Source organism: Homo sapiens, chromosome 5 (genome assembly GCF_000001405.40).
Source record: "Homo sapiens chromosome 5, GRCh38.p14 Primary Assembly".
Taxonomy (NCBI): Eukaryota; Metazoa; Chordata; class Mammalia; order Primates; family Hominidae; genus Homo; species Homo sapiens.
The window spans coordinates 154,772,933-154,800,164 of NC_000005.10; the positions used below are offsets into that span (position 1 = coordinate 154,772,933).

The following is a 27,232-nucleotide window of genomic DNA, read 5'->3' on the forward strand; positions in this document are numbered from 1 at the left end:
TGCCTCCCAAAGTGCTGGGATTACAGGCATGAGCCACCGCACCTGGCCTTTTTTTTTTTTTTTTTTTTTTTAAAAGACCTTGCTGTTCTATCCTTTGAGTTACTGTTGGGACAACTGGGAAGAGGGAAGAGTTGCGATAAAGAACAAGGAAGGCTCCATGACTGGAAGTTTAGTCCGCCCAGTTTTTGTACTGGAAGGGCTTATTGCTGATTTCATTAAGAAAACGTACGAATGGGGGCTTCTGTCACCTCAGAATATCTTATACTGTACTCACGTATTTTGGGGTCTCAGTTGACCATGGGTTACAAACTATGGCTAGGGGGGCAGGGATCCACTGTATTGTAAGCTATATATTTTTTCCATTTAGAAACATAGGCTTTCAAGGGGACTTAATCTTTTTGTAACCCTCAAAGCCACCTTAGGAAGGAAGGTAACAGTTTGCTGTTGAGAGAAAGGTTAAGGAACTGTGGCTGTGAAGGCACATACCCAGCTGCTACCTGTGAGCCCTCCACTCTTTCCCTGCCCTCTGCAGGCACGCTGGGGTTGAGGCCTCTGAGCCTGGGCCACAAATCACATGCACACATGTGTAAGTGCATGTTCCCCCACAGCACTGTGCTGGGGGAAGCAGGCACAGATAGGGGAAGATACTTAACCGAGCTGCCACGCAGGGATAGGATATTTAAAACACAAGCACCCTGAACTCCCAGTCCAGTGTTCTTTCCACTCATCTGCCAGATTCTGAGAGCTTCCTGCCTGGTTTTGGAACTACTTGAAGTACAAAGAGGAAACTAATGGAGGGTGGGCAAAGGCCTTCCACTTGGTTTGTCTGGGAGTACCCTCAAGTCTACAGCCTACCCCGCTGATGGAAGCAGGCCAGCACTGGCCTGTCTCTTGGGGAGAACAAATGTGGATAGGCAGTGGGAAAAAGACCAGTTGGGCCAGAGTAGTTGCAGAAGGGGACATGGGTTGGCCTGAGTCAGGTTGGGACATAGAAATCTCTAAATAATTGGTTTGTCCAACAATCCTGCACCCCTAGTGTGGGCACAAGTGCCTCACACTAGGCCACTTTGTGACAAGAACGTCATGCAGGTTTGAGATTTGTAGAAGCCTGGCTTCATTTTTTTTTTTTTTTGTTTCTCCACACCTAAACCGGTGCCTCAGTTTTTCAGCCTGTAAAATTGGGCTGCTTCTTAGATATGCCATTGGCTTGCTGCTGGCCTCCTCCGTCCCTTTGGAGGAGGGCTGAGGATGAGCAGCTGACTTGGGTTAGCCCTCAGATGAAAGGGACCAGAGTACTGATGATTGGGGGTTTAAAGACTGGATGGAGTTTAAATACTGGATGGATCCAGGGAAGCCAGCCTTTCTCTGCATCACTGCATCCCTGCCCCATGCTTGTTTGCACTGCAGGGAGTAGCAGCTATGGCACCCAGCAGCCCTGTGCCAAGTCTCCAGGCTGGGGAGGGTCTGCTCCAGGGAGTGAGGGGGTGCCTTGGTTTGCACTCTGGGAGCCAAATTCCCTCGAGGTAGGATATTGCTCAAGATGGCATTTGCCAGAGCTGAGGAGTCTAAGGCACCATCTTTTCATTTCTCCTGGGGTCTAGTCTTATTACTCAAACCCTTGGATATAACGGGTTGGTACTACCTTTGGGAAGACTTAATCTCTTGCATTTCCTCTGAGGTGGGATTGGAGAGGCAGTAAAGGTCCCTATTGGCTGTTGCTGGGCTTGTAGTTGCTCTGGGATGTTCTCTGCTGTCCCTGCCCCAGGCCTTTTCTGCCCACATATCATCACTGCCATTGCCCCTCTGAGGTGCCAGCTCTTTGGAGATCCTAGACTTGAAGCAGGTCAGAATCTAAAAGGGCTTTGGTCACTAAGAAGCCGTCTGGTCACTTCTTTTACAGAAAACCAAGTCTGTATTTTGACCAAAGTCTCTCAGGTGGCACCAGGGGGGATCACAGTGCCTGCATTAGGATTTGTAGGCTTTGTTTCCTTGAGGAAAGAAACAGTTGAAACTCAGTAATTTCAGGGAAAAAAAGAAAAACAGGAGGCCCTTTGAATGGTCGGTGCTGCCAGGGGGAGATCAGAAGAGGACTAGGGCTGGATATAGTGGCTCACACCTGTAATCCCAGCGCTTTGGGAAGCCAGGGCAAGAGGATCACTTGAGCCTAGGAGTTTCAGTCTAGCTTGGACAAGATGGCAAGACTGTCTCTACAAAAATTAAAATTAGCTGGGTGTCCCAGCTAATTTAGTCACAGCTACTTGGGTGGCTGATCCAGGAAGATCGTGTGAGTTCAGGAGCTTGAGGCTGCGGTGAGCTAGGATTGTGCCACTGCACTCCAGCCTGGGTAACAGAGTGAGACCTCGTATCTAAAAAACGTAAGTGAATAAAAACAAGAACTTCAAATACAAAAATTAGTTGGGTGTGGTGGCAAGCACCTATAGTCCCAGCTACTCAGGGGACTAAGGTGGGAGGATCACCTGAACCCGGGGAGGTCGAAGCTGCAGTGAACTGTGATCATGCCACTGCATTCCAGTCTGGGTAACAAAGTGAGACCCTCCCTCAAAAAAAAAAAAAAAAGGCGACTCCCCTGCGGCTTTGGTGCTTGCTGGAGCCCAGGCCTTCAGGTTGCAGATGGTTCTAGAGCATTGCCTTTGCAATAAACAGTGTTTTTGATTCTTGACTGTTTTTACTCACATCATTCCCTTTTCTGAGTTGCATTATCCCCACCTGGCAGGTGAACTAACGGGCTCAAGAGGAGTGGATTCTGGTGGCCTCAGTCCCCTGTAGGGCCTACAGGCTTGATCTGGAGCCTTTTGGGGACAAGAACCTAATGTTTGTTTCCTGCAGTGCTGAGAGGGGTTTGGGGTAGCCTGGGATTTCATATCCTTGGAGTCAGATACCTTCTCACTGGATAACCTTCGGCTAACCACTTAGCTGCCTTGAGTCTTCTAAAACTGGGATAATAGTCCCTCCATTGTGAGGACTAAAAAACTTAAATGCACAAAAGGGGCACGGCAGGAGGCCTGGCTTCCTGAGGTAAATGCCTAGTAAGTGGTGGCCATTATTACTATTATTAGTATTTTAAAGTAAATATGGCCGGGCTTGGTGGCTTAACTCCTGTAACCCCAGCACTTTGGGAGGTTAAGGTGAGAGTATCCCTTGAGCCCAGGAATTCAAGACCAGCCTAGGCGGCATAGCAAGACCCAGTATCTATTTTATTTTATTTTGTATAGAGACAGAGCATTGGGTGAGCAAACAGTAAGATTTTTAGGGTAAGAGAAGCTGTTCGGCTGTGAGGCAAAAGCAGGTGGACAATTCCCTTCAGAACCTTCATTCTTCTGGCAAAGCCAAGTTTTGGAGCTTGTTACAAAACTTAAACCCCAGCCCAGACTGATCCCTTGTGACCTCATATCTGTCAGGACACTCATCATGTGGCTTCTTGGATCACTGTTGGTTCCTGGTGCTGGAGATTAGACTGGTGGGTAAAGGGAGAGTACCTCCTGCACCTCTCTTCTGGCTGCTGTTTGTGTGTGTAATTGAAACTACCTGCTCTTGTAAACCAATTAAGTCCTGTCTATACAAGTGAGACCCTGCACTGGGGTTTGGAGACCTGGGTTCCTTCCTGGCAGTCTCACTCATTGGCAGCTCAGTTCTTAAACATTAATCTGCCATGAGCAATTGCACAGGAAGCATACAACTGCAGGTGTTCAATTTATGCCCACCTTCTTAAATTAATTTCTGGAGTTTATAGAGGGAGTCAAGAATCTGCATTTCTCCCAAGCCAGCCCCTCTTCCCAGATGCTCTGTAGACCACAGAAGTGGTATTGCAAGCCTGCTAGCTCACTGATCTACAGTTTCTACAAATGTGAAGTGAGTGTTTTTCAAACTACCTTCTGCTCAGGAACTCCTGCTGAATGGGAGTCACTCAGTTTAGTAACATTTCTTTTGGAACAGCTCTGCTATTTTTCTTTTCAAGTAATTTAAGTGTTTAATACATACTAAGGAATATAAATCTAAAATAAATATCAAAACAACCCAAGTACAGTCTCGTGTCACTTAACAGGGATACATTCCGAGAAATGTGTCATTAGTTGATTTTGTCATCGTATGAACCTAGAGTGTACGTACACAAACAAATGGCACAACGTACTATGGACTTAGGTTGTATAGTATAGCCTGTTGCTCCTGGGCTACAAACCTGTGTAGCATGTTCCTATACTGAATACTGTAGGAGTTGTAATACAATGGTAAGTATTTGTGTATCTAAACATAGAAAAAGTATTGTAGGTCGGCCGCGGTGGCTCATGCCTGTAATCCCAGCACTTCCCAGCACTTTGGGAGGTTGAGGCGGGTAGATCGCCTGAGGTCAGGAGTTCAAGAGCAGCCTGGCCAACGTGGTGAAACCCCATCTCTGCTAAAAAAAAAAAAAAATGCAAAAATTAGCTGGGCATGGTGACGGACACCTGTAATCCCAGCTACTGGGGAGGCTGAGGTGGGAGAATCAACTGAATCCAGGAGACAGAGGTTGCAGTGAGCAGAGATCACGCCACTGCACTCCAGCCTGGGTGACAGAGCGAGACTCTGTATCAAAAAGAAAAAGTACTGTAAAAATATGGTATAAAATATGGAATAAAAAGTGTTCCTTCTTCATACCCCCTGCTTCACTTTACTAGCCTTAAAATATTTTTAAAGATTTTTTAAAATGGCACACTGACTATAGTCAGCAATAATTTATTGTACATTTAAAAATAACAAAGTGTAACTGAATTGTTTGTAACACAAAGAAAGGATAAATGCTGGAGATGATGGATACCCCATTTACCCTGATGTGATTATTATACCGTATCAAAGTATCTCAACTACCCCATAAATATGTAAACCTACTATGTACCTACACAAATTAAAAATTAAAAAAATATATATAATAAAGTGGCACACTGGTATAGGGCAGCTCTATTATAATCTTACGGGACCAACTGTCATATTTGTGGATGGAGATGTCATTATTTGGCTCATGACTATACTTACTGCTGGTTTAAGAAGTGCAGGATGGGTGCGGTGACTCACGCCTGTAATCCCAGCACTTTGGGAGGCCGAGGCAGGCGGATCACAAGTTCAGGAGATCGAGACCATCCTGGCTAACACGGTGAAACCCCGTCTCTATTAAAAATACAAAAATTAGCTGGGCGTGGTGGTGGGCGCCTGTAGTCCCAGCTACTCGGGAGGCTGAGGCAGGAGAATGGCGTGAACCCAGGAGTTAGAGCTTGCAGTGAGCCGAGATCGCGCTGCTGCACTCTAGCCTGGGCCACAGAGCGAGACTCCGTCTAAAAAAAAAAAAAAAAAAAGTGCAGCTCTGATTTAAAAATATTAAATATGGTATTGTGGTTTTGGGTACCCCTGTCAGTTTAACAGTTGAAACTCATTAGGTTACATCAAAATAACTGTTAAGTATGTACAGAGAAAACCTACCTTAGAATTACCTAGCAGATTCCTGACTCCACCATTGCTGAGCAAAAAATCTCTGAAGGATGGGACCCAGGAATCTACGTTTTGACAAGCTCCTCACATGATAATTCGAATGCATGCCAAAAATCTTAATAGCTTATCCTGGAAAGCCGGCTGCATTTATGGAGATCAATGGGTATAAGGACAAAATCACAAGATGTTAGAACTGGAAGGACTGTGGATGATAGGATTCTGCCCACCCCTACCACAGGCCTCTGAATAGAGAGACTGAAGACACTGGAGGGTAGTTCTTGCCAAGCATCCATAGCAAGAGCTCTGGTGTCTGCGCCAGGACTGTCAACCAGTCTCTTGACTTCTAGCCCAGGGCTCTGGTCACTCTTCCACTTTCAGTTTGGAACATGGGGCAATAGTCTTTCCTAACTATGGTGTCCAGTTCTAACAAACTAAAAATACAGGGGACACCCAGTTAAATTTGAATTTTAGATAAATCAAATATTTAGTATAAGTATGTCCCAGTATTGCATGGGACATATTTAGTCTATAAAATTACTGTTTATCTGAAATTTAGATTTAACAGAGTGTCCTGAATTGCTATTTGCTAAATCTGGCAACCATATTCTCTCCCCGCTTACCCCACCTTTTTTTGGGCACCAGTCAGGTTCAAGAATTGCCCCAAAGAAATGAAAAATAATTACCATGCATTTATGGTACTATTACTTCATTTAATCTGTTAATCCTGTGAGCTAGCTGTCATGGACCCCATTAATAGTTCAGGAAAGTGAGAGGTTAAGTCTGACTCCTGGGATCATCTCGGTAAGCTGTCATTTTGCCTCCTCATGAACCTAGTTGCTTGGCTCTCATTGATGTGTGGCCCAGTTAATGCCTATCAAGTTACAAGCTACATGAGAGATTGCTCAGTTTTGACTCATCTGCCCCTGGCCTTGTGAGTTACTTAATTGATGATGGCTCTTGGTTAGTACATCCAAGAATGGACTCCAAAGTCCACGCTGTTAACTGCTGCTCTAACCTGTCTCTTAACTCCGTGGCATAGTAAATTGTTGGTAGGGTGGCTTTGGGGTAGGGGTCGGACCCCCTCTACATTCTCTCTTTTTTTTTTTTTTTTTTTTGAGATAGAGTTTTGCTGTTGTTGCCCAGACTGGAGTGCAGTGGCGCAATCTCGGCTCACCGCAACCTCCACCTCCCGGATTCAAGCGATTCTCCTGCCTAAGCCTCCCGAGTAACTGGGATTACAGGCATGCGCCACCACACCTGGCTAATTTTGTATTTTTAGTAGAGACGGGGTTTCTCCATGTTGGTCAGTCTGGTCTCGGACTCCTGACCTCAGGTGATCCGCCTGCCTCGGCCTCCCAAAGTGCTGAGATTACAGGCATGAGCCACTGTGCCCAGCCCCCCTCTACATTCTCTAAAGGGGTGTGCTGGTGCCTTGAGAGCATCCGTGTGCAGGGGTGGGGAGTCTGCAGGTGGGGCAGCACCCTGGCTGCTGAGCCTGTCCTGTCTCCATGTTCATAGCATCCCAGGGCTTAACTCTTTCCCAGTTGGGTTGTAGCATATGACACTGAAGGAGCCTGTAGGCCATCCTGAACTCACCGAGAGAGGCAAATTAGCAGCTCCTGGGAAGCAAGGCTGCCTGGCCAGGCTGGCCTGGATTGGGGGAACTAGTTGCTACTCGAGAACTCCAGCTTCCTATCTGCTTTTGGGATGACCCTCCCTGGAAAGTCCCTCCCACTGCTGTGGAATTTTCAGGCTACCAAATGTGCCCAGCCTGCCTCTCAGGACAGACAGACAGTGAGAAAAAGATCTCCAGGGCCCACTAAGTCTTCCAGAGGGAGCTGAGACATTCAGCCTTCCCTGGCAGGGCTCAAAGAGGAAAAAAGGGATTGGAAATGGGGCCCCTCTCAGAGCCACTTCAAAGCACCCTCCCCTGTGGTCATGTGTTTCAGTTCCATGTGAGTAGTTTTTCTTGACAGTATCGGTAATTTTGGGGAACAGTTCCTGTGACACTTTGGGTCCCTAAGGCCCTGCCCTGACCCTGTGAGTGGATATAGTTGGGCACAGAGTGTATTTTGTTGAGGAGCAGATATTGGCTTCCTGGTTTGCCAAAGAGCTCTAGATTGGGAGACAAGAACTTGATGTTCCAGTGCCAGCTCTACAGCAAATCACTGGTGACTTTGGCCTCTCCTGGTCCTCAGTTTTTCTGTATGTACAATGAGATTCTCAAGTCTTTCCAGCCCTGACTTGGTCTGGGATCACCCTCTCCACTCCAATAATGGGAATAATCCAAAGTAATTTTTTGGGGATTCAGAAGCCTCTTCCAACAAAGGATGCCCTAAGATTGGAAGGACAATAAAAATGAGTTTGTGGGCCGGCCACGGTGGCCCATACCTGTAATCCCAGTACCTTGGGAGGCTGAGGCGGGTGGATCACTTGAGGTCAGGAGTTCAAGACCAGCCTGGCCAACATGGTGAAACCCCATCTCTACTGAAAATACAAAAAATTAGACAGGCTTGGTGGCTCGCGCCTGTAGTCCCAGCTACTCGGGAGGCTGAGGCAGGAGAATTGCTTGAACTTGGGAGGTGGAGGTGGCAGTGAGCCTAGATTGTGCCACACCCACTGCACTCCAGCCTAGGTGACAGAGTGAGACTCCGTCTCAAAAAATAAAAAAATGAGTTTGTGTTACCTGAGGTGGTGGCTGACCACCAAGGACAGGAAGAAAACCTCTGAGCTTGGCAGCCTCCCACATCAGGGTAATGGAGTCAGGTGTGCGTGTAGTTGTGTGTGCCTAGCAACCTGTCTGAGACGATTGGCTTCTGAAGTCCAGGGCCTAGGAAAGCCCAAGGGAGCCCCGCAAGCTGATTGTGCATAGCTCATTTGTTTAACTGGGAATCATCATCATACCTACCTTCTGGGCTCACGCCTGTAATCCCAGCACTTTGGGAGGCCGAGGCGGGCGGATCACGAGTCAGGAGATCGAGACCATCCTGGCTAATATGGTGAAACCCTGTCTCTACTAAAAATACAAAAAAATTAGCTGGGCATGGTGACACACACCTGTAATCCCAGCTACTCGGGAGGCTGAGGCAGGAGAATGGCGTGATCCTGGGAGGCGGAGCTTGCAGTGAGCCGAGATGGCGCCATTGCACTCCAGCCTGGGTGACAAGAGTGAGACTCCGTCTCAAAAAAAAGGAAAAAAAAAACGGAAAAATAAATGAGCTACTACATGTAAAAAACTTTGGCATCATGCAAAGACATTGTAAGGCAAGCTTGTCCAAAGGACGGCTTTGAATGCGTCCTGACACAAATTTGTACTTTCTTAAAACATTGAGATTTTCTTGCAATTTTTGTTTTTTAGGTTCATCAGCTATCATTAGTGTTAGTGTGTTTTACGTGTGGCCCAAGACATTAATTCTTCCATTGTGGCTCAGGGAAGGCAAAAGATTGGACACCTCTGTAGTAAGCTCTCAGTAATTGATTGCAGTCTAGTGGAGTTGAGATACACACAGATGCAACCATTTCAGGCGGTAGTGAGTACCCTGAAGATCTTAAATTGTAGACTGAGTTAGAACTTGATCCAGAGTTGCTGGTTTTGTGGCACTTTACATTGGGCAGTCAGGAAGCCTCCTGAGGAGAATTTATATTGAGATCTATGACTAGATCTGAGGAGTCAGTCATCTTGCTCTTCAACATTGTGACCTTGGGCGAGTCCCTTCCTTCAGTTTCATTTTCTGGACAACTGGAATAATTGTGTCTTTTTGAGATAATTAAGTAAAATCATACACAGCAACTTAGGTCAGTTTTTGGTACCTAGTCTTTATGCAGTAAAAGGTGATTATTATTACTGTTCTAACTAGAACCAAATGTGCTCTTTAGAAAAGGCTGGGTTAGGGAGCTGGCACTTGGAGGCCAGGAGCTTTAGTGGCCGCTGATATATTTCAGCTGTGTTGATTATTGATCAGCTTTGAAGCAAGATTTCAGGGACTGGTACCAGCAGTGGGAGTGGCCACAGCCACCCGAGGGTGGCTGGGTCCACATCTGGGCGGGGAGAGTGGGAGCACTGGGCCACCTGGGTCACCACAGGCTAAAGATAGTCAGCTGGGGCTGGGCCTGGGCTGGGCCAGGCTGGCCAGCATCATGTGACTGGAGCCTGGCCCACCCTTGCTCCTCCTCCCGGGCCAAGGGGATGCAGACTCTGCATTCCTGAGCTGACTGGTGGTCTGCAGCTTCCTTTCAGTGGGAACTCAAGATGATCTGACCTGAACATTTCTCTCCTTCCCTTTCTCTGCCCACTCCTCTCCCTAAGAATGCCCTTCCAGCCCCTCCTGCATTTCATCCGCAGGTCTAGGGAAATTTGGGTGGGAGGACTGGGCAGAGAGGCCTCTGAGAGATGGTACCGACAGCAGCAGCTGGTGACCAAGGTGAGGAGGGCTAACATGGCATTCTCTTTACTCCATAGAAGAATGTTCCTGCTTAGGGGGTCCTGGGGTCAGTCAGTATGGGAGGAAAGGCCTGTGGGTCTCCAGGCTCCCCTCTATGACTCCACCCCATCCCCAGGATGAATGACAGCTGAAAGTAGCCAGGCTTTTCAGTTAATCTGTCCCCAGGCTGGCCTGGGAGGGACAGGCACAGGTGGGTAGTATAACCCAGGCACTCTTTCCTGCCTGCCTCACCCTCCCTTCAGATGGTATTGCTGCCTTCCACAGTCAGGGTCCCTGGACACAGGCTTAGGGAGATAGTGGTGGCCTTCCTTATATCTGGGGGCTGAGGGTGGGGCACAATCCATGTCAGCTGGATCCCCCTGAGCAGCCTCTGGGAGAACTGAGAGGAACTGGGAGGTGGGTCTGGAAGGAATGTCTCTTTCTTCATAGTGCTGCCAGTGCCAGAGTGCTGGAGTTAGACTCAAACTGGGTGTGCTTGGTGGTAGTTTCCCTTGCCTCTCTGGGTAGGGAAACTAGGCACTTCCAACCACCGAGGTGCCACTTGTCCAGCTGTTAGCTTAGGCTTCCCTGCAACAGGCTTTGGTTTTCCCCAGTATGTAGAATGATGCCCAGGCATCCCTGCTATTGAGAAACTGTCCTGTTGGCTACAATAAGGTTGTAACTTATACCCCTTAGCTTCTCTTCCACCTCCTTTTAGTGGTTAAGAGCACAGGTTTTAGAGTCAGACTGCTTGGCTCCAAATCCTGTTCCTCTCTTTGCTGGCTGTTATCTTGGCAAATAACCTTTCCACCATGTGTCTTGGGTTCCTCGTTTTAAAATGGGACCAATGAAAGAAACTAATTCAACACGATCAAGATTAAGAGAATCCATGCCCAGAGTTTAGAACAGTGTGTGGTATCTAGTAAATGCTCACTACATATTATTTACACGTGTAATTCGTGCATCTGCGATTTGCTGCTAGCATTTCTTGTGCTTTGGTGAGAAATCTCAGTGGTTGAGATCTGTCTTTCTGTTCTCACACCTGTAGACCCAATATTAGTAAGGAGGGTGACGCTGGGGTAGAATGGTAGGTAATGCTCCCAAGGGTTATACAACTGGTGAGTGTTGCATTCTGGACTGAGGCGCAGCACTGATATCAGGCAGTTGGGTTGCCTGTGAGTCAAAGCTGGGCTAGGGCCTGCGTTCCTCTGGGAGCCAGCAGTTTCTAGGACACTAGCAATTTCTCTGTATTTGGGAGGGCCCCAGCTGAAGGCTAAGGGTTGAGGCTATAACCTCAGGAATTAGCACTTGACAAGCAAAGCCTCTTCTGGTGTGAAGTCGCTATTCATTAAACAAGTGTCTGCTGTGTTGCCAGGCCCTGAGCTAGACACTGGGGTACTGCTGTGAAAGCAGCCCTGTGGTCCCTGCCCCCAGGGGAGGGGCAGATAAGTAACCAGCCCATTTAACATTTACAATACCGTGGGAGCACATAGCAGGGTGCTTCACCACACTTGAGGTCTGGGAGGTCTACCCGAAGGAGGTCGACCTAACGGCCAAGTGTATGGTAGCAGATGGGTGAGTGTGAATGTAATACAGCCCCTAAACCCAACAGATTACCTTGTTCTCAAGGTAGTAGTTCTTAGCTCTCTGGTAAACAGCCTTTTCAGATGCCAATCTCCAGGAGATGATACCAGTCCCCAAATAAGCATTTGGTCTTCCTAATTTTCCTGGCAGTGTTCAGGCCTGAAATCTGGTAGTCCTTCTAGTCACCCACTCTGGGTCCTGAAGGCTTTCTTTGAATAGCTCAGCCTTTTCTCACCTTTCATGCACAGGTCCCTCAGTTTTAATTCTAGCTTCTCTCTGCCTCTTACCAGATCTTTTTACTGTGACCTGATGAGTTTGAATCACCCATGTGCTTTCTACCTGTTGGTTGAACCAAGTTCTTGCTCCTCAGACCTTCACATCTGGAACCTCTGGGTAGTTTTTGTTTCAAAGGTCGGCAGCCTTAGGATCTTTTGAGAAGAAGACAATAGTGAAAACACTTTTAAATCTTTTTATCTGGCTGTGTACTGGCCAGGGTTATGGGTTTAGTAGGCTGAGAGAGACTCCTTGAGCCTGGCCTGTTTTCCTTTTCTGTTCTGAGTAAAAAGTGGAATGACTGAATTTCAACTGAAAGGGAACTCTTGTCAGCCTTCGCCATGTTCTTCCTTCCTCCCTAACAAAGCAGGGCTTTATGTCAAAGCACCCCTGGGGGACCTGTGATAAATTCCCCCATCTGTCTTTCCTCATTTTAAACTACAAAGTTTGGAAGCCTTCCTCTTTCCTGGGGAAACTTGCCCTGGGGCCCAGGTGCCTCCTGTCTCTGAAGGGCAATGTGGTGGTGTGGTATCCCCATCCAGTGGGCATGGATTACCGCTCAGAAGAGCCAGGTGAGGTGGGTGGCCTCATTTGCAGTCTGGACTGTATGAATTGAACCAATTAATCACCCCAAGAGTTTTTCCCGTACATTCTGATTCTTTCATTTTGAGAGATGATTTGGTGTATCTCCCCCCATCCCCATCTCTATCTCAGAGTGAGGGTGGCGATTGCTTGGAAATAGTAAGCTTCCTTTGTGAATTGTAATATTAGCATTTGTTGGGCATTTATTGTGTGCTAGGTACTCTTAGTATGCTCTGTTTGTTTAACTGTTCCAGCAGCCATGTAACTATGACTTCAATTTTACAGAGGAAGGTGAAGTTCAGAGGGACCCTGTGAGGAGCAGAGTAGGTAGGGACTCCACCCTAAGTCCATCCCATAGCAAAGTCCATGTGCTTAATGGGGCCCTCTGACTTTCCTAGGTGGTCTTTGAATGAGGGGGTGTTAGACACACTTGAAAATAGAGGCTTAAAGAATCTCGGGGTTAGACATTCGAGGTCGTGTGGTCATTAACCACTCCACTTTACAGAGGAGCCGCCATCCCTATTCCAACCATCCCAGTTAGTAATTCCTCTCTGCCCTGCCATTCCTCAGCACCCACCTTCTACCCCTCATTTCTCTTCATCCTTCATTAGCAGTAGTAGCATCAGCTCCCTGCTCCTTGACACTCAAAATAACCTTAAGTAATCCAAGTGAAAATAGTGGGTTTGCCATGCAGATAGTTGCCAGAAAAGTCCTCTAGTGTTCTCAACACCACCATATTCAGATTGCTTCTTGCACATAGCAATTTTGGTATGCTTCACTTTTTTTTTTGAGATGGAGTTTCACTCTTGTCACCCAAGCTGGAGTGCAGTGGCGCGATCTCAGCTCACTGCAACCTCCGCCTCCCGGGTTCAAGCGACTGTCCTGCCTCAGCCTCCTGAGTAGCTGGGAATACAGGCGCCCACCACACCCGGCTAATTTTTTGTATTTTTAGTATAGACAGAGTTTCACCATGTTGGCCAGGCTGGTCTCTAACTCCTGACCTCAGGTAATCTGCCCGCCTCGGCCTCCCAAAATGCTGGGATTACAGGCATGAGCCACTGCACCCGGCTGGTATGCTTCATTTTTAACAAAGGCTTGTGTGTATTTAAGAAGCCCCCGGACCCCCTGGAACTAGAATTACCAGAATTAGTACTGGCTCCTGGCTATGGTCCTCTGGGACAGAAGGTGGTTTTCCTTCTCTTCCAGATACCCTTTAGGGCTGGTTTGCCTTAGTTGAGGAAGAAGACCCTCCTAGGGACTCTGTCTGCCATCCACCCTGCTACAGTCTGGGCCTCGGAGACCTGTGGACAGATAAGCTGCTGGGCCCAGTCATCAGTAACTGTTTACTCAGAAAAACAAGGGAAGTGCTCTAAGATTACACTAAGAAGGCTTTTGACCCATTCCTCGCCAGTAGACACATGGAAACCATTGGGCTCCATGGAATTTCTGGTGAGCTGTTGAGGAGCTCTGGCAAGGGAGTCAAGACCTACAGCTTTCATCCTGGCTCTGCAGCTAGTCTTGAGGAAGCCCCTTCCCTTTTTCTGGCCTCAGTTCCCTGTCTACAAGTTGAGTGGATTAGAACTATGGTCCCTTCATTCTATGATTGTTTTCTTTTTTTTTTTTTTGGGATGGAATTTTGCTCTTGTTGCCCAGGCTGGAGCACAATGGTGCAATCTCTGCTCACCACAACCTCCTGCCTCCTGGGTTCAAGTGATTCTCCCACCTCAGCCTCCCAAGTAGCTGGAATTACAGGCATGTGCCACCACACCTAGCTAATTTTGTAATTTTAGTAGAGATGGGGTTTCTCCATGTTGCTCAGGCTGGTCTCAAACTCCGAACCTCAGGTGATCCACCCACCTCGGCCTCCCAAAGTGCTGGGATTACAGGCGTGAGCCACCGTGTCTGGCTATAACTGTTTTCTTGACCAAGTGAATGGTGTTTCCTGACTGGGCGTTGGGTCAGTGGCAGCAGGCATGCAGGTTTCAGAATGCAGGGGTAGAAGGAGGAGAATTATCCCCTGATTTGGCTGGGATGGTGCTGGACATGGGGATTGGTGCCTGTGCAAAGGATTGGTTTGCATTGGCGGCCATTACAGATGCCAGGCCCAGCTGAACCTGTATATTCTGTGTGTGCTTGTGTGTACCTGTGTGCACGTGTGCACACGTGCTCCAGTGGTTACCTGGTGAGGGTTGGTGGCTGAGATGGATAATTGAATTCATCAGAAAGCCTAGTCGTCTTTCTGGTCTCTTGCAGGGCCTGACAGCAGCTCATCTGAGCCATTCTGGGTTTCCTTGAAGCCCAGTAGTATTTTAACAAATCTATGAATTTTAGATTTTAAAGGCAGAAGTGGCTCTTGCTCCCCATTGGCTTTTTCTGCCTTTCTGGGGGTTTTTTTCTCCTTGTCAGGGGCAACCTGAAGCCCTACCTGGGAGCAGAGAAAGAGCAGGGCACCGTGGGTTTTCAGGACAGAGGAACCTGGGGATGGACCTTTTTCAACAAACTCACACAGGACTAATTTAAGAATATTCATGTGTATGCTCAGACTGTTTGTATTCTCATCAGCTTGGGATTGGTGGCAGACTAGGGAATCAGTGAGGTCTTTTCATGGCACTTTGATTGGAGACTGAGCTTTCAATACTTTACCATCTCCTTTTGTGATCAAACAATGATCTGACTTTGCCTCACCTTTTTAAGGAAAAGTCTTCAGGAATACCTTGCCCTCTACCTGATTTCTCTTTATAACATCCTGTTAGTGAAGTTGGCGTTGGTGGTACACAGGCCCTTTGGCCTGCTCTCCTGGTAGCTTGCACACAGTGTTGCTGGGTACTGGGAGAAGTGATTACCAGCCATAGTGTAGGTATATATGAACCTGGTCCTGGTTTGACACAGAAGAAGATTTTGTCAGGGGACTAGATGGTATTAGGCTCATCCAGGCTAACCCAGGAGTCCCAGGAGTATGGGTGCAGAATGGCCCCTTGGGCCTAAGAACTCTATCCTCTTGGGATTGAGATTTTCTGGTTCACCATTGCCCTGCACTGGGGGTGTGGGATGCTGTTGGCTGGGTTCCACAGCTCCAGCTCTCAAAGGCATGTGGGGTATCTTGAGGGGGTAGTGGCTCCGGTAGGGGGTGGAAGCCAGGAGAGCAGTGGCCTCACAGTGAGGAGTCAGGCAAGGACACTCTCTACTCATTAAGGGAACATGGGTCTGATCAAGGAGTTAGAACATTCCTTTCCAAGCCAGCCGGGCAAATTTCTCTGCTGCTCGGGGTTTGGGGGCAGCTCTCGCCCTGGCATGGCTGGCCAACAGTACAGGCAAAGTGATAGGGGAGAAGTCGGTGAGCAGAGCCACAGGATGTATCTTTTCCTGTGGGTTTCTGGGGGAGGAAGGGGCACAGAAATTCTTGTTTTTCAGAATGGTGTTGGGAAAAGAAGTGTGGATGTAGAAGGGACTGGACCTACTAGAACAACTTCCTTAAAAAAAAAAAAAATTAAGACATTTGTTTTTGATAAAAGCCCATGTCTGTCTTTGTTGAAAAACTGAAGTCCCTGTAAATGTTATGTTTAATTTCTGATAGTTCTTACATGTCGTTCTAGAGTTTGTACTGTATGTGTGTGCATGTGCACATTTTTGTTTTACAAGAAGGATTTTTAAAAAACTTTAGCCAGGCGTAGTGGCTGACGCCTGTAATCCCAGCACTTTGGGAGGCTGAGGCAGGTAGGTTACTTGAGGTCAGGCATTTGACACCAGCCTGGCCAACATGGTGAAACCCATCTCTACTAAAAATACAAAAATGAGCTGGGCATGGTGGCGCGCACTTGCAGTCCCAGCTACTTGGGAGGCTGAGGCAGGAGAATCACTTGAACCCGGGAGGCAGGTGTTGCAGTGAGCCGAGATGGCGCCACTGCACTCCAGCCTGGGTGACAGAGCGAGACTCTGTCTCAAAACAAACTTTTTTTTTTTTTTTTTTTTGAGACAGTCTTGCTCCGTCGCCCAGGCTGGAGTGCAATGACGTTATCTCGGCTCACTGCAACCCCCGCCTCCCGGGTTCAAGTGATTCTCCTGCCTCAGCCTCCCAAGTAGCTGGGATTACGGGCGCCCACCACCACGCCCAGCTAATTTGTTGTATTTTTAATAGAGACAGGGTTTCGCCATGTTGGCCAGGCTGGTCTCAAACTCCTGACCTCGGGTGATCCACCTGCCTTGGCCCCCCAAAGTGCTGGGATTACAGGCGTGAGCCACTGCGCCTGGCCACAAACAAAGTTTTCATTTATTGTGTCCGTCATTTTATATTAGTAGAGATCATTATCTTTTTCATAACTTTTCTAAAAATGGATGAACTTTAGTCAGTCCCCTATTTTGGGGTATATAGTTTGTTTTCCATTTTTTGAAGTTATAAATAATATTTTAGTAGGACATCTCTGTACATAACTCTTGTCTAATTTGTATCATTAGGATAAATTCTTAGAGGTAGGACTGTTGAGTCAAGTGGGAGCCCACTTTTTCTTTGGAAGCTGAGAAGGCAGACAAAAATGTTTCCTGAGCAGCTGGCCCTGGTGTGGTCCCTAGATTTTTTGATGGCTCACTTAGAGTTTTTACTTTGCCTTCCCAATGATCACTAGTCCTGGTCTGCTCACATCAAACTTCTAGAATGTTAGGGCCAGAAATGATCTATCAGACATCTGCCATGATTCAGGAGCCCTGAGCTATAGTCCTGACTCTGGTGGCATGGACTTCTTTCTCCAGGCCTCAGTCTCTGTTACGGAACTGTACTCTCTGAGGGCCTCCCACCTGAGTCTGGACTTCTTGGGTTTTGGCTGCTGGCTGCTGGCTCCTGGCTCTTTGCATGATCGCGCTTTCTGTGACTTCTTCAGGAGTGGGCTGGTAAAATTGTTATTGGTGTTTGAGCACGTGTCTTTCCCCTCTCTACTGTGTCTTTCTCCTTTGGGAACTTGCAGGTTGCTAGGTGGAGTGGGGACGGTGATGAGGGTGAGGAGCTGGCAGTAGCCCCCTCACATGGGCTTTGCATTACTAACTCTCCCTTCTTGTTCCCACAGAACACTCTGCTCCAGCCAAGGTGGTGAGGGCAGCTGTTCCTAAACAGCGCAAAGGCAGCAAGGTAAAGAATAACAGTGGGCAACCCAAGGGGACTTTCTGGAGTTGGTGGCCTCTTTCCTGTTTTAGTGAATGCTCCTGGACTGCCAACTAGTTCTGGATTGTCTGTGAATTGCAGGGGAGCCCCTTCTAGGTATCCAGTGTGAATGGTCCTGGTGAACAGACTGATTTGGCCTCTGATCTCTTGGTGAAGCTTGGGTCGGGGGCTGAATAGCAAAGACAGGGTCACTCCTGGGGCCCTCATAGTGTATGTTCCCTGCAGGTTGGTGACTTTGGAGATGCAATCAATTGGCCCACACCTGGAGAGATAGCCCACAAGAGTGTTCAGGTGAGTCTGTGTGGAAGAATAGGCAGGTTTGAAGTCTCTTGACATACACACATTTAGCTCCTCAAGCTTCCAGAGAGCCTCAGCTCTTACCTTTCTCAGTTTTCATTCTTTCTTTTTTTTCCCCCCAACAGAGTTTCACTCTTTTTGCCCAGGTTGGAGTGCCATGGTACAATCTCAGCTCACTGCAACCTCCACCTCCTGGGTTCAAGTGATTCTCCTCCCCCAGCCTCCCGAGTAGCTGTGATTACAGGCGCTCACCACCATGACCGGCTAATTGTGTATTTTTAGTAGAGACAAGGTTTCACCATGTTGGCCAGGCTGGTCTCGAACTCCTGACCTCAAGTGATCTGCCTGCCTCAGCCTCCCAAAGTGCTGGGATTACAGGCATGAGCCACCGTGCCCGGCCTCTCAGTGTTTTTTGTTGTTTTTTTTTTTTTTTTTTGAGATGGAGTCTCGCTCAGTCACCCAGGCTGGAGTGCAATGGTGTGATCTCGGCTCACTGCAACCTCCGCCTCCCAGGTTCAAGCAATTCTCACTCTGTCACCCAGGCTGGAGTGCAATGGTGTAATCTCAGCTTACTGCAACCTCCACCTCCCAGGTTCAAGTGATTCTCCCGCCTCAGCCTCCTGAGTAGCTGGGATTACAGGCACCCACCATCATGCCTGGCTAATTTTTGTATATTTTAGAGACGAGGTTTTACCATGTTGGCCAGGCTGGGCTTGAACTGACCTCAGGTGATCTGCCCGCCTCGGCCTCCCAAAGTGCTGGGATTATAGGTGTGAGCCACTGTCCCCAGCCCCCTAGCCTCTGTTTTCTAAACTTAGTGGTTAATAGAATCTGAGCAACATTGAAATAGCTAAGAACTGTCATCATTTAAACCTTTGCTTTGTTAGAGACTGCCAAGTACAGTTTTCCTGTGTTATACATGGCGGGGCTGGTGGCAGGTGTTGGTTCTGGGACCTCTGTGCATACCAGAATCTTTGCATACTCAAGTCCTGTAGTTGGCCCTGCAGGACCTACATATATGAAAAGTTGGCCTTCCGTGTATGCAGGTTTCACATCCTGCTAATACTGTATTTTTGTTCTGCATTCGGTTTTTTAAAGTCCTGTGTATAAGTGGACCCACACAGTTCAAAGCCATTTTATTCAAGGGTCAGCTGAATTGCCTGTTCATCATCTCATCTAACCCTCACAGTGACTCTGAGATAGGTCCTTTTATAATCCCCATTTTACAGATGAAGCTGCTGAGACTTGCAGAGGTTAATTACTAGCCCTTGATGGCCAAGTGGGGATTGGAAGTCAGGTGTGTTGTATTATTCCCCAGCCTGTGTTCTCCATCACTACGCTTGGGTTTTCTGAGTGAAGTAGGAGAGTGGTCATTAGGCCAAGCACCGACCTCCAGACCACATGTCTTGGGGAAGCTTATAAAATTCTCTTGGGGCCTAGCAAAGAGAGGACTCCTAGTCAGTTCTCTTCTTCCCAGCACTTTTGTTCTGGCCAGTGGCTTAGAGTCTTTACTCACTGGCTGTGGCCGCTTTTACTTCACAGACAGAGTTGTTGTTGATAGGCCAGGGGGCATCTCTTCCTTCCCACAGACTACCTAGACAACATGGCCCTGTTGCAGGGAATAATTTTGCCCCTGTGAGCCTCAGCACCGCTGTCCTGAAGGTTGTCTCTGTCACTTAGACTTGGAAGCTGGAGAGATAAGTTGCCTTCCCACCTTCTGGCCTATTTGACCATGCTTCCCACTGAAACCATCTCAGGTGTGAAAATGACCTTAGAATACATCCCATCCAGCCTGCCATTGCATGCTGTGGCTCCTGCCTGCCCTTCTAGTGACAGGGAGTGCCTTCCCTCCTATACCATGAGGCACTCACACTCACCTCACTGTTACTTTACTTCCTGCTATAGCCACAGTCCCACAAGCCTCAGCCTACCCGTAAACTGCCACCCAAGAAGGACATGAAGGAACAGGAGAAAGGAGAAGGGAGTGATAGTAAGGAGAGTCCAAAAACCAAATCAGATGAATCAGGGGAGGAAAAGAATGGAGATGAGGATTGCCAGCGAGGCGGGCAGAAGAAGAAAGGTGAGTGACTGGGAGCAGGACTTGGGAGAAGGTGGCAGGGTAGAACTGTGAAATGTCAGGACTCCAGGGGACTGCTGGAGGAGCTTTAGGTGCCACCTCTGAAAAGTCAATGGGGAAACTGATGGATGTAGGCTGGTGAGATAGCAGTCTTCAACCATCTGTCATTAATCAGTCCCTCCTTTCAAAAAACCTGCTGAAATTTTGGCTTCTCTAATGCTGATCTAGAGTAACCATGGTTTAAACAAGATAAAACTTTCTTTCTTTGATGTAACAGCTTGGTGTAAATACACCAGGCCTGGTATGGCAACTCCTGAATCCCTTCAGCTTGCTGTGGTACACCGGTTCTTCATATCATCACTGATGGCTTCCTATTTCCTTCTTCTTCTAGCTAGGAGGAAAGGAAGAGGGAAGGGTGGCCCCTTTCCTTTTAGGGACTCAACCTGGAGTTGGTTACTTCAGCTTAGCTCTCGTAGGCAGTGTTTTGGCACCTGTCTATAGGGACTCTGGAAAGCATGGTCTTCATCCTGGGCTGCCATGTGTCTGACTCCAGAAGGGGATTCTGTGGCCATGGAGACACTGATCTTGGGAGTTAACGAGGAGTCTCTAACACACTGACGGCCACTGACCAGCTTATTTTAGAGATGAAAAAGAGGGCTAATGTGTGGGAAAGGGATCTGCCCAAGGTAACCAGATTGTGATTTGGGCCCAAGTCCAGGGCAGAAGAAGAGGAGTTGGGTAGAGCTGGCTAGGAGTGGCCTCTCCCTCAAGCCTTTCTCATGTACCCATGCTGTCTCCCAGGAAACAAACACAAGTGGGTTCCATTACAAATAGACATGAAGCCTGAAGTGCCCAGAGAGAAACTGGCTTCACGCCCCACTCGCCCACCGGAGCCTAGACACATACCTGCCAATCGCGGAGAGATCAAAGGTATGCACTACCCACTATGGAGGGCCTGGACTTGGGAGACACCCTCAGGCCTGACCTGGTACCCCTCTCCCCATAGGGTCTGAGTCTGCCACCTACGTGCCCGTGGCCCCCCCCACCCCAGCCTGGCAACCAGAGATCAAACCGGAGCCTGCCTGGCACGACCAGGATGAGACATCGAGTGTGAAGAGTGATGGGGCTGGTGGGGCGCGGGCTTCCTTCCGTGGCCGTGGACGGGGGCGTGGTCGCGGCCGGGGACGCGGCCGGGGTGGCACTCGAAGTACGTGAGGCCCCTTTGGGCTCCGGGATGTCCAAGGGTGTGCAGCAGGGGTGGTGGGCAGGAATCTCCTCTCCCTCATGGCACCCGTTTCCCCCATAGCCCATTTTGACTACCAGTTTGGCTACCGAAAGTTTGATGGTGTGGAGGGGCCTCGTACGCCCAAGTACATGAACAACATCACCTACTACTTTGACAATGTCAGCAGCACCGAGCTTTACAGTGTGGATCAGGAACTGCTCAAAGACTACATCAAGCGCCAGATGTGAGTGTGCGGAAGCCTTCTTACCCTGGAGAAATGAGTGAGAGGTTAGGGGTTGCTAGAGTGTCATAGCTGGGCAGGCCCTTCTGGTGCTTAGCAGCAGTTTCAGCCTCAGGCTGAAAAGATAGCTTTTCTCATTGTTTATTAAAGAAGTGATACCACATTCTCATTGTTTATTACAGAAGTGGTACAACATTTACCTTAAGAAAGTTAGAAACTATACCATTACAAAAAGGAAGGAAAATATTTAGAATCTACCCCCTTCTGTTCTTCCATTTGTAATGACAACATTGACAGAATACTAACATTTATTGAATCCTTAGTATCGGCCAGGCTCAGTGTTTATTGTTGTAGAGGCATTATCTTAGTCCTGCAGTTCTTATCTGTTGAATTCCTATGAGCTGAGTCTTTTAGCCCCAGTTTATAGACAAGCAAACCGGCCCAGTAATTTGCACAGAATCTCACAGCTAGTAAGTAACAAAGCACAGATTTAAATCCTTTTCTGTCCTATTATAGAACCTTTGTTCTTAACCACTCTGATATATTGTCTCTCAGTCCAGTAAGGAAGTCATACAAGAAAATAAATGGTTGCAATAGAGTGTTTATAAGTGTTTTAGGAGCAGAAGAGAAAGTGACCAACAATATTTGGACTGGAATTTAAAGGAGGATGAGGAGTTTGACAGGCATGTCGAGGGGCTTAGGGCAGAGGGAGTGATTTGACCCAAGCAAGGTAGGGTGTCATGAAGGGATCACATCATTTCTTTTCAGCCCTCAACACTGTTGGTATATAGGATAAGGATGGGGTAGGTCAGAGGCTGTGTGAGATTGCTGGGGTGTGTAGCAGAACAAGGAAGGCATACTCATAAAACTGATGCACCAATCCCTCGGTGATAACTACTTCTTCCCTCCACTTAGTGAATACTACTTCAGCGTGGACAATTTAGAGCGAGACTTCTTCCTGCGAAGGAAAATGGATGCTGATGGTTTCCTACCCATCACCCTTATTGCTTCCTTCCACCGAGTGCAGGCCCTTACCACTGACATTTCACTCATCTTTGCGGTATGTCTTCCTCCCTGGAGCTGGGATGCAGGGGAAAGAAAGGTCCTTAGGGAGCTGGAGTTTGGGCCAAGGCAGAAAGCCCTGGAAGAGTCATCATCTGATGACTTCTGCTGAAGTCTCAAGGCTTGGCTAGTCTCCTCCTCTCCCTCCTTCCTTCCTTTCTCTCCCTCTCTTGCTCATTATGGAAAATGTCAGACACTTAACAAAAGTAGAGTAGTATAATGAGCCCATCATCAGCTTCGGCAGGTATCAGTTTATGGCTAATCTTATTCCATCTGTACCCTCATCTGTTTATTCTCACATACTACATTGAAGAAAATCCTAGAAAACCTAGCATTTTGTTCACAAATATTTCAGTATAGATTTCTAAAAGATAGACTTGTTAAAAGAAAATAGCCACAGTATCATTATCATACCTAAATTAACAGTTTAACATATTAACAGTTCCTTAATATCATCAAATATTTAGTTCAGATTCATCCCAATTGGCGCCATATATATATTTATATATATATTTTATATATATTTATATATATTTTATATACATTTATATATAAAATATACATTTATATATATTTATATATTATATATTTATTATATATTTATATTTATATATTATATATTTATATATTATATATATTTTTATACATATTATATATTTATATATTATATATTTTTATATATATTATATATTTATATATTATATATATTTTTATATATATTATATATTTATATATTATATATTTATATATAGTATATATATTATATATATATTTTATATATTTATATATAGTATATATATTATATATATTTTATATATTTATATATTATATATATATTTTATGTATTTATATATTATATATATATTTTATATATATATATAGTTTGTGAGAATCAGAATCCAAATAATACCTATAGGCTGGGTGCAGTGGCTCACACCTATAATCCCTGCACTTTGGGAGGCCAAGGGGAGGGTCATGTGAGCCCAGGAGTTCAAGATTAGCCTGGGTAACATAGCAGGACCCTGTCTCTACAAAAAACTAACAAGACCTGTGTATTGTCTTATTAAGTCTCCTCTTGCCTCTATTTTTCTTTTTCTTTGCCGTTTATTATTTGAATAGACTAAGTTGTACATCCTGTAGGATTTTCCACAGGGCACAGGGATGTCATTTTAACATGTTCATCTGTACTCCAAGTTTTTTGTAAATTGTGATCTAGAGGCCTGATCAGATTCAGGTTTTGAAGTTTTTTCCCCTCCTTGTCAAGAATACTTTATCATAATGATGTATTTTCTCTCAGGTGGCACATAACATTTCATTTGATTGTCTCTCTTGTGCTATAAGCTGCCAGCAGTGTTCGTTAGGATTGCAAAATGACAATATACTAATTCTGTCAGTCGGTCTTCATTTATTAGGTGGAATACCTCTTCAAGAAGTAACTTTGCCTCATCAACTGTTCAGTTACCAAGAGGTATAGTTTGTTCAGGAAGGGCAGATTAATGTTTGATCTTCCTCCCTTTGTTAGCCAGTTTGCATAATTATGAGTTGATCTCTAATAGGTTTCATAGGTGACCAGTGAGATTTGGTGGTTTGTTTTCGTATCATTTGTTATTATAAGCTTATGGGCTCAAACGTATTTATTTTGGTCCATTGCAGTTAATGGATTGGATCAAATTGTCCCACCTTTGGTCAGTGGGACCCTATACATTTCCTGCCCCAGATCTGGAATTGGCCACTTTTAAAAGGAATTCTAGTTCCTTTCTTTTGGGAAATGGTATTTAGATACCAGTCTGAGTTATAGGGGTGCTTTATTGCTACTTGGTTGGTCATTCTTTCTAGATGATTTTTTTGTTTTTTGGTGAGATAAAATACATCATGGAGTTATTCTGTTTTGTTGTTGTTGTTTTTTTTTTTTTTTTTTTTTTTTTTTTTGAGACAGAGTTTCACTCTTGTTGCCCAGGCTGGAGTGCAGTGGCATGGTCTCAGCTCACTGCAACCTCCACCTCCCAGGTTTAAGCAATTCTCCTGCCTCAGCCTTCCAAGTAGCTGGTATTACAGGCATGCACCACCACACCCAGCTAATTTTGTATTTCTAGTAGAGATGGGGTTTCACCATGTTGGCCAGGTTGGTCTCGAACTCCTGACCTCAGGTGATCCACCCACCTCGGCCTCCCAAAGTGGTGGGATTACAGGCATGAGCTACCGCGCCCGGCCTGTTCTGGTATTTTCTATTAAAGGGTCTTTACGTAGACTTGTGGATCTTTTATTTTACCTACTGCTTTCTTCCATGCCCATAATCTTAATTCCTAATGATACCAACATAATTACTCATTTTGTTTTATTTCACAGTATGTCTACCGTCTTTTTTTTTTTTTTTTAAACATTTTTTAAAGAGAGAGGGTCTTGCTCTCACAGGCTAGATTGCAGTGGTGTGATCATGGCTTACTGCAGCCTCAACCGCCTGAAATCAGGCAATCCTCTTGCCTCAGCCTCCTGAGTAGCAGGATTACAGGTGCACACCACGTGTGGCTAATTTTTAAATTTTTTGTAGAGATGAGGTCTTGCAGTGTTGCCCAGGCTGGTCTGAAATTCCTGGGCTTGAGCCATCCTCTCACTTCGGCTTCCAAAGTGTTGGGATTACAGGCGTGAGCCATTGTGCCAAGCTCTACATTCTTACAATACCTCCACTACCACTGAAAACAGTTTTTCCACTTATACAGTATCTTCAAGTCATTTGAAAGAATCTTTGTGTGGTTTCACATTTAAATTGATATATATATTAGTTTTATTTTGCTTCCAAGTTTTAGAGATTGCTTTCTCCCTACCCCTATAATTTTCTAAGTTGTTTTACATTTGTGTAAAACATTTACGTGGTTCTAGAGTCTCAGCATGGTATAGTCATAGAAGTCTGACTTAAATTCTGTCACTTACACCCTTTCTTCTCTTACAGGCAAACTTTTTAGAACCTTTCCATTTAAGAAAAAAGCAAATGCCTCTACATGTATTTGTATCCTTGGTAAATGGAAATATACAACACATGGCATTTCTTCAATTCTTTTTTGTTTTAACTTAATATATCTGGGAGCTAACTGCAAAGTAGCAGTATATAATAGAAAGATATTCCTCATTCCTGTGTACAGTTGCATAGTTCACCATTGTGTGGAATGCTCCATGTTTTTTCAACTGCTGCTCCTATAGATGGATGTTTTGGTTGTTTTTTTGAGACTAGGTCTTGCTCTTTTGCCCAGGCTGGAGTTAGTACAGTGGTGTTATCAAAGCTCACTGCAACCTCAACCATCTAGGCTCCCAAGTAGCTGGGACCACAGATGTATGCCAGCGCCACCTTTTTACGATTTGTAGTGATAGAGTCTCGCTATTTTGCTCAGGCTGGTCTTGAACTCCTTTGCTCAAGCGATCTACCCACCTTGACCTCCCAAAATGTTGGGATTACAGGTGTGAGCCACTGTACCCAGCCTGCTTTTTTGATTAATATTTTGTGGGTTTATCCACCTCAGCACATGTAAAGTTGGTTGTTTTTTTGTTTGTTTGTTTGTTTGTTTGTTTGAGACGGAGTCTCGCCCTGTCGCCCAGGCTGGAGTGCAGTGGCACCATCTCGGCTCACCACAACCTCCACCTCCTGGGTTCAAGCGATTCTCCTGCTTAACCTCTCGAATAGCTGGGACTATAGGCGTGTGCCACCACAACCAGCTAATTTTTGTATTTTTAGTAGAGATGGGGTTTCACCATGTTGGCCAGGATGGTCTCAATCTCTTGACCTTGTGATCTGCCTGCCTGGGGCTCCCAAAGTGCTAGGATTATAGACGTGAGCCACCAGGCCCGACCTGTAAAGTTTTTTAATGTCTGAGTAGTGTTCCATCATGCATATGCTGTAAATATTTAAATTGCCTATGCGATGGCAAGTTAGGTATTTTATAGTTCTTTTTCTACTCTAGTTTTACTGTGAATGGCTTTTTGTCCAGATATTATACATACTGCTCCCTGTTTGTGCAAGTGTTCTCTAGAGCAGATTACTGGAAGTAGGATTGCAGGCTCAAAGAGTAAAAGGGTAGGTGTATTTATTATGCTGGTACCTCCTACAAGTTTGAACATCTCACATTATCTACCAGTCGTGGAAGATGGTGTCAATTTTCTTATATTACTGGTAGCATTGGACTCATACCAAGCTCAGGGGAACCCAGTTGTCTACCATTTCCAAGATCTTTCTGTCCAAGATTTTCTTCTTAATCCCCTCTTCCTTCTCCTCCCCTTCAGGCCCTAAAGGACAGCAAGGTGGTGGAGATCGTTGATGAGAAAGTTCGTAGGAGGGAGGAACCAGAAAAGTGGCCTCTTCCCCCAATAGTGGATTATTCACAGACTGATTTCTCCCAGCTTCTCAACTGCCCTGAATTTGTTCCCCGTCAGCACTACCAAAAGGAGACAGGTAGGTACCTGCTGGCATGAAGATTGCCCTTGTCCTCTGGGCAACAGTCCTCCTCAGGGCTGGCATCAGGAGGAGGACTGGAGGGATGAGGACTTCCCCTTTCCACCCTTTAGAGTCGGCACCTGGCTCTCCTCGTGCAGTCACCCCAGTGCCAACCAAAACAGAGGAGGTCAGCAACCTAAAGACACTACCCAAGGGCCTGTCTGCCAGCCTGCCTGACCTGGATTCTGAGAACTGGATTGAAGTGAAGAAGAGGCCTCGGCCATCCCCAGCACGGCCCAAGGTGGGTGAGGCCTTGTCCCTTGCCTTGGTTCTAGCACTCTGAGCTAGGGTGCTTGAAGGGGATAACACATGGGCACAGCACTCTAGCTCTGAGGGGCCAGCAGGAAATCTGGGTAGTTCAGG

The 27,232-nt window shown here is 46.4% G+C and overlaps 1 protein-coding gene across 19 annotated transcripts in view, besides 6 other annotated features; it reads left to right on the forward strand.

The window, feature by feature from the left end:
• The window catches only part of LARP1 (La ribonucleoprotein 1, translational regulator), a 134,627-nt gene that overhangs the window by 89,954 nt on the left and 17,441 nt on the right, over window positions 1-27,232 (forward strand). For 8 of the 19 annotated variants that reach the window (XM_047417041.1, NM_001367714.1, NM_001367713.1 and 5 more), the window contains 9 exons: window positions 17,393-17,454; window positions 17,713-17,778; window positions 19,690-19,864; window positions 20,663-20,791; window positions 20,868-21,068; window positions 21,168-21,330; window positions 22,243-22,387; window positions 26,659-26,827; window positions 26,941-27,110. In XM_047417041.1, coding sequence (XP_047272997.1) covers window positions 17,393-17,454; window positions 17,713-17,778; window positions 19,690-19,864; window positions 20,663-20,791; window positions 20,868-21,068; window positions 21,168-21,330; window positions 22,243-22,387; window positions 26,659-26,827; window positions 26,941-27,110 — 1,280 coding nt within the window. Of the gene's footprint in view, window positions 1-72; window positions 9,900-17,392; window positions 17,455-17,712; window positions 17,779-19,689; window positions 19,865-20,662; window positions 20,792-20,867; window positions 21,069-21,167; window positions 21,331-22,242; window positions 22,388-26,658; window positions 26,828-26,940; window positions 27,111-27,232 lie in introns of those variants that run through there. The other 11 variants (NM_001367716.1, XM_047417042.1, XM_047417043.1 and 8 more) reach the window with 4 other exon arrangements.
• Window positions 2,683-3,261: an enhancer, noted in NCBI's record as "OCT4-NANOG-H3K27ac hESC enhancer chr5:154155175-154155753 (GRCh37/hg19 assembly coordinates)". NCBI's record gives its function as "activates a minimal SCP1, AML or CMV promoter by ChIP-STARR-seq in naive H9 embryonic stem cells {active_cell/tissue: H9 hESC(naive)}" and the evidence as "EXISTENCE:reporter gene assay evidence [ECO:0000049][PMID:30033119]".
• Window positions 9,053-9,679: an enhancer, noted in NCBI's record as "H3K4me1 hESC enhancer chr5:154161545-154162171 (GRCh37/hg19 assembly coordinates)". NCBI's record gives its function as "activates a minimal SCP1, AML or CMV promoter by ChIP-STARR-seq in naive H9 embryonic stem cells {active_cell/tissue: H9 hESC(naive)}" and the evidence as "EXISTENCE:reporter gene assay evidence [ECO:0000049][PMID:30033119]".
• Window positions 9,357-9,456: an enhancer, noted in NCBI's record as "active region_23484". NCBI's record gives its function as "activates an Ori minimal core promoter by ATAC-STARR-seq in GM12878 lymphoblastoid cells {active_cell/tissue: GM12878}" and the evidence as "EXISTENCE:reporter gene assay evidence [ECO:0000049][PMID:35858748]".
• Window positions 11,058-11,317: an enhancer, noted in NCBI's record as "active region_23485". NCBI's record gives its function as "activates an Ori minimal core promoter by ATAC-STARR-seq in GM12878 lymphoblastoid cells {active_cell/tissue: GM12878}" and the evidence as "EXISTENCE:reporter gene assay evidence [ECO:0000049][PMID:35858748]".
• Window positions 11,338-11,557: an enhancer, noted in NCBI's record as "active region_23486". NCBI's record gives its function as "activates an Ori minimal core promoter by ATAC-STARR-seq in GM12878 lymphoblastoid cells {active_cell/tissue: GM12878}" and the evidence as "EXISTENCE:reporter gene assay evidence [ECO:0000049][PMID:35858748]".
• Window positions 11,768-11,827: an enhancer, noted in NCBI's record as "active region_23487". NCBI's record gives its function as "activates an Ori minimal core promoter by ATAC-STARR-seq in GM12878 lymphoblastoid cells {active_cell/tissue: GM12878}" and the evidence as "EXISTENCE:reporter gene assay evidence [ECO:0000049][PMID:35858748]".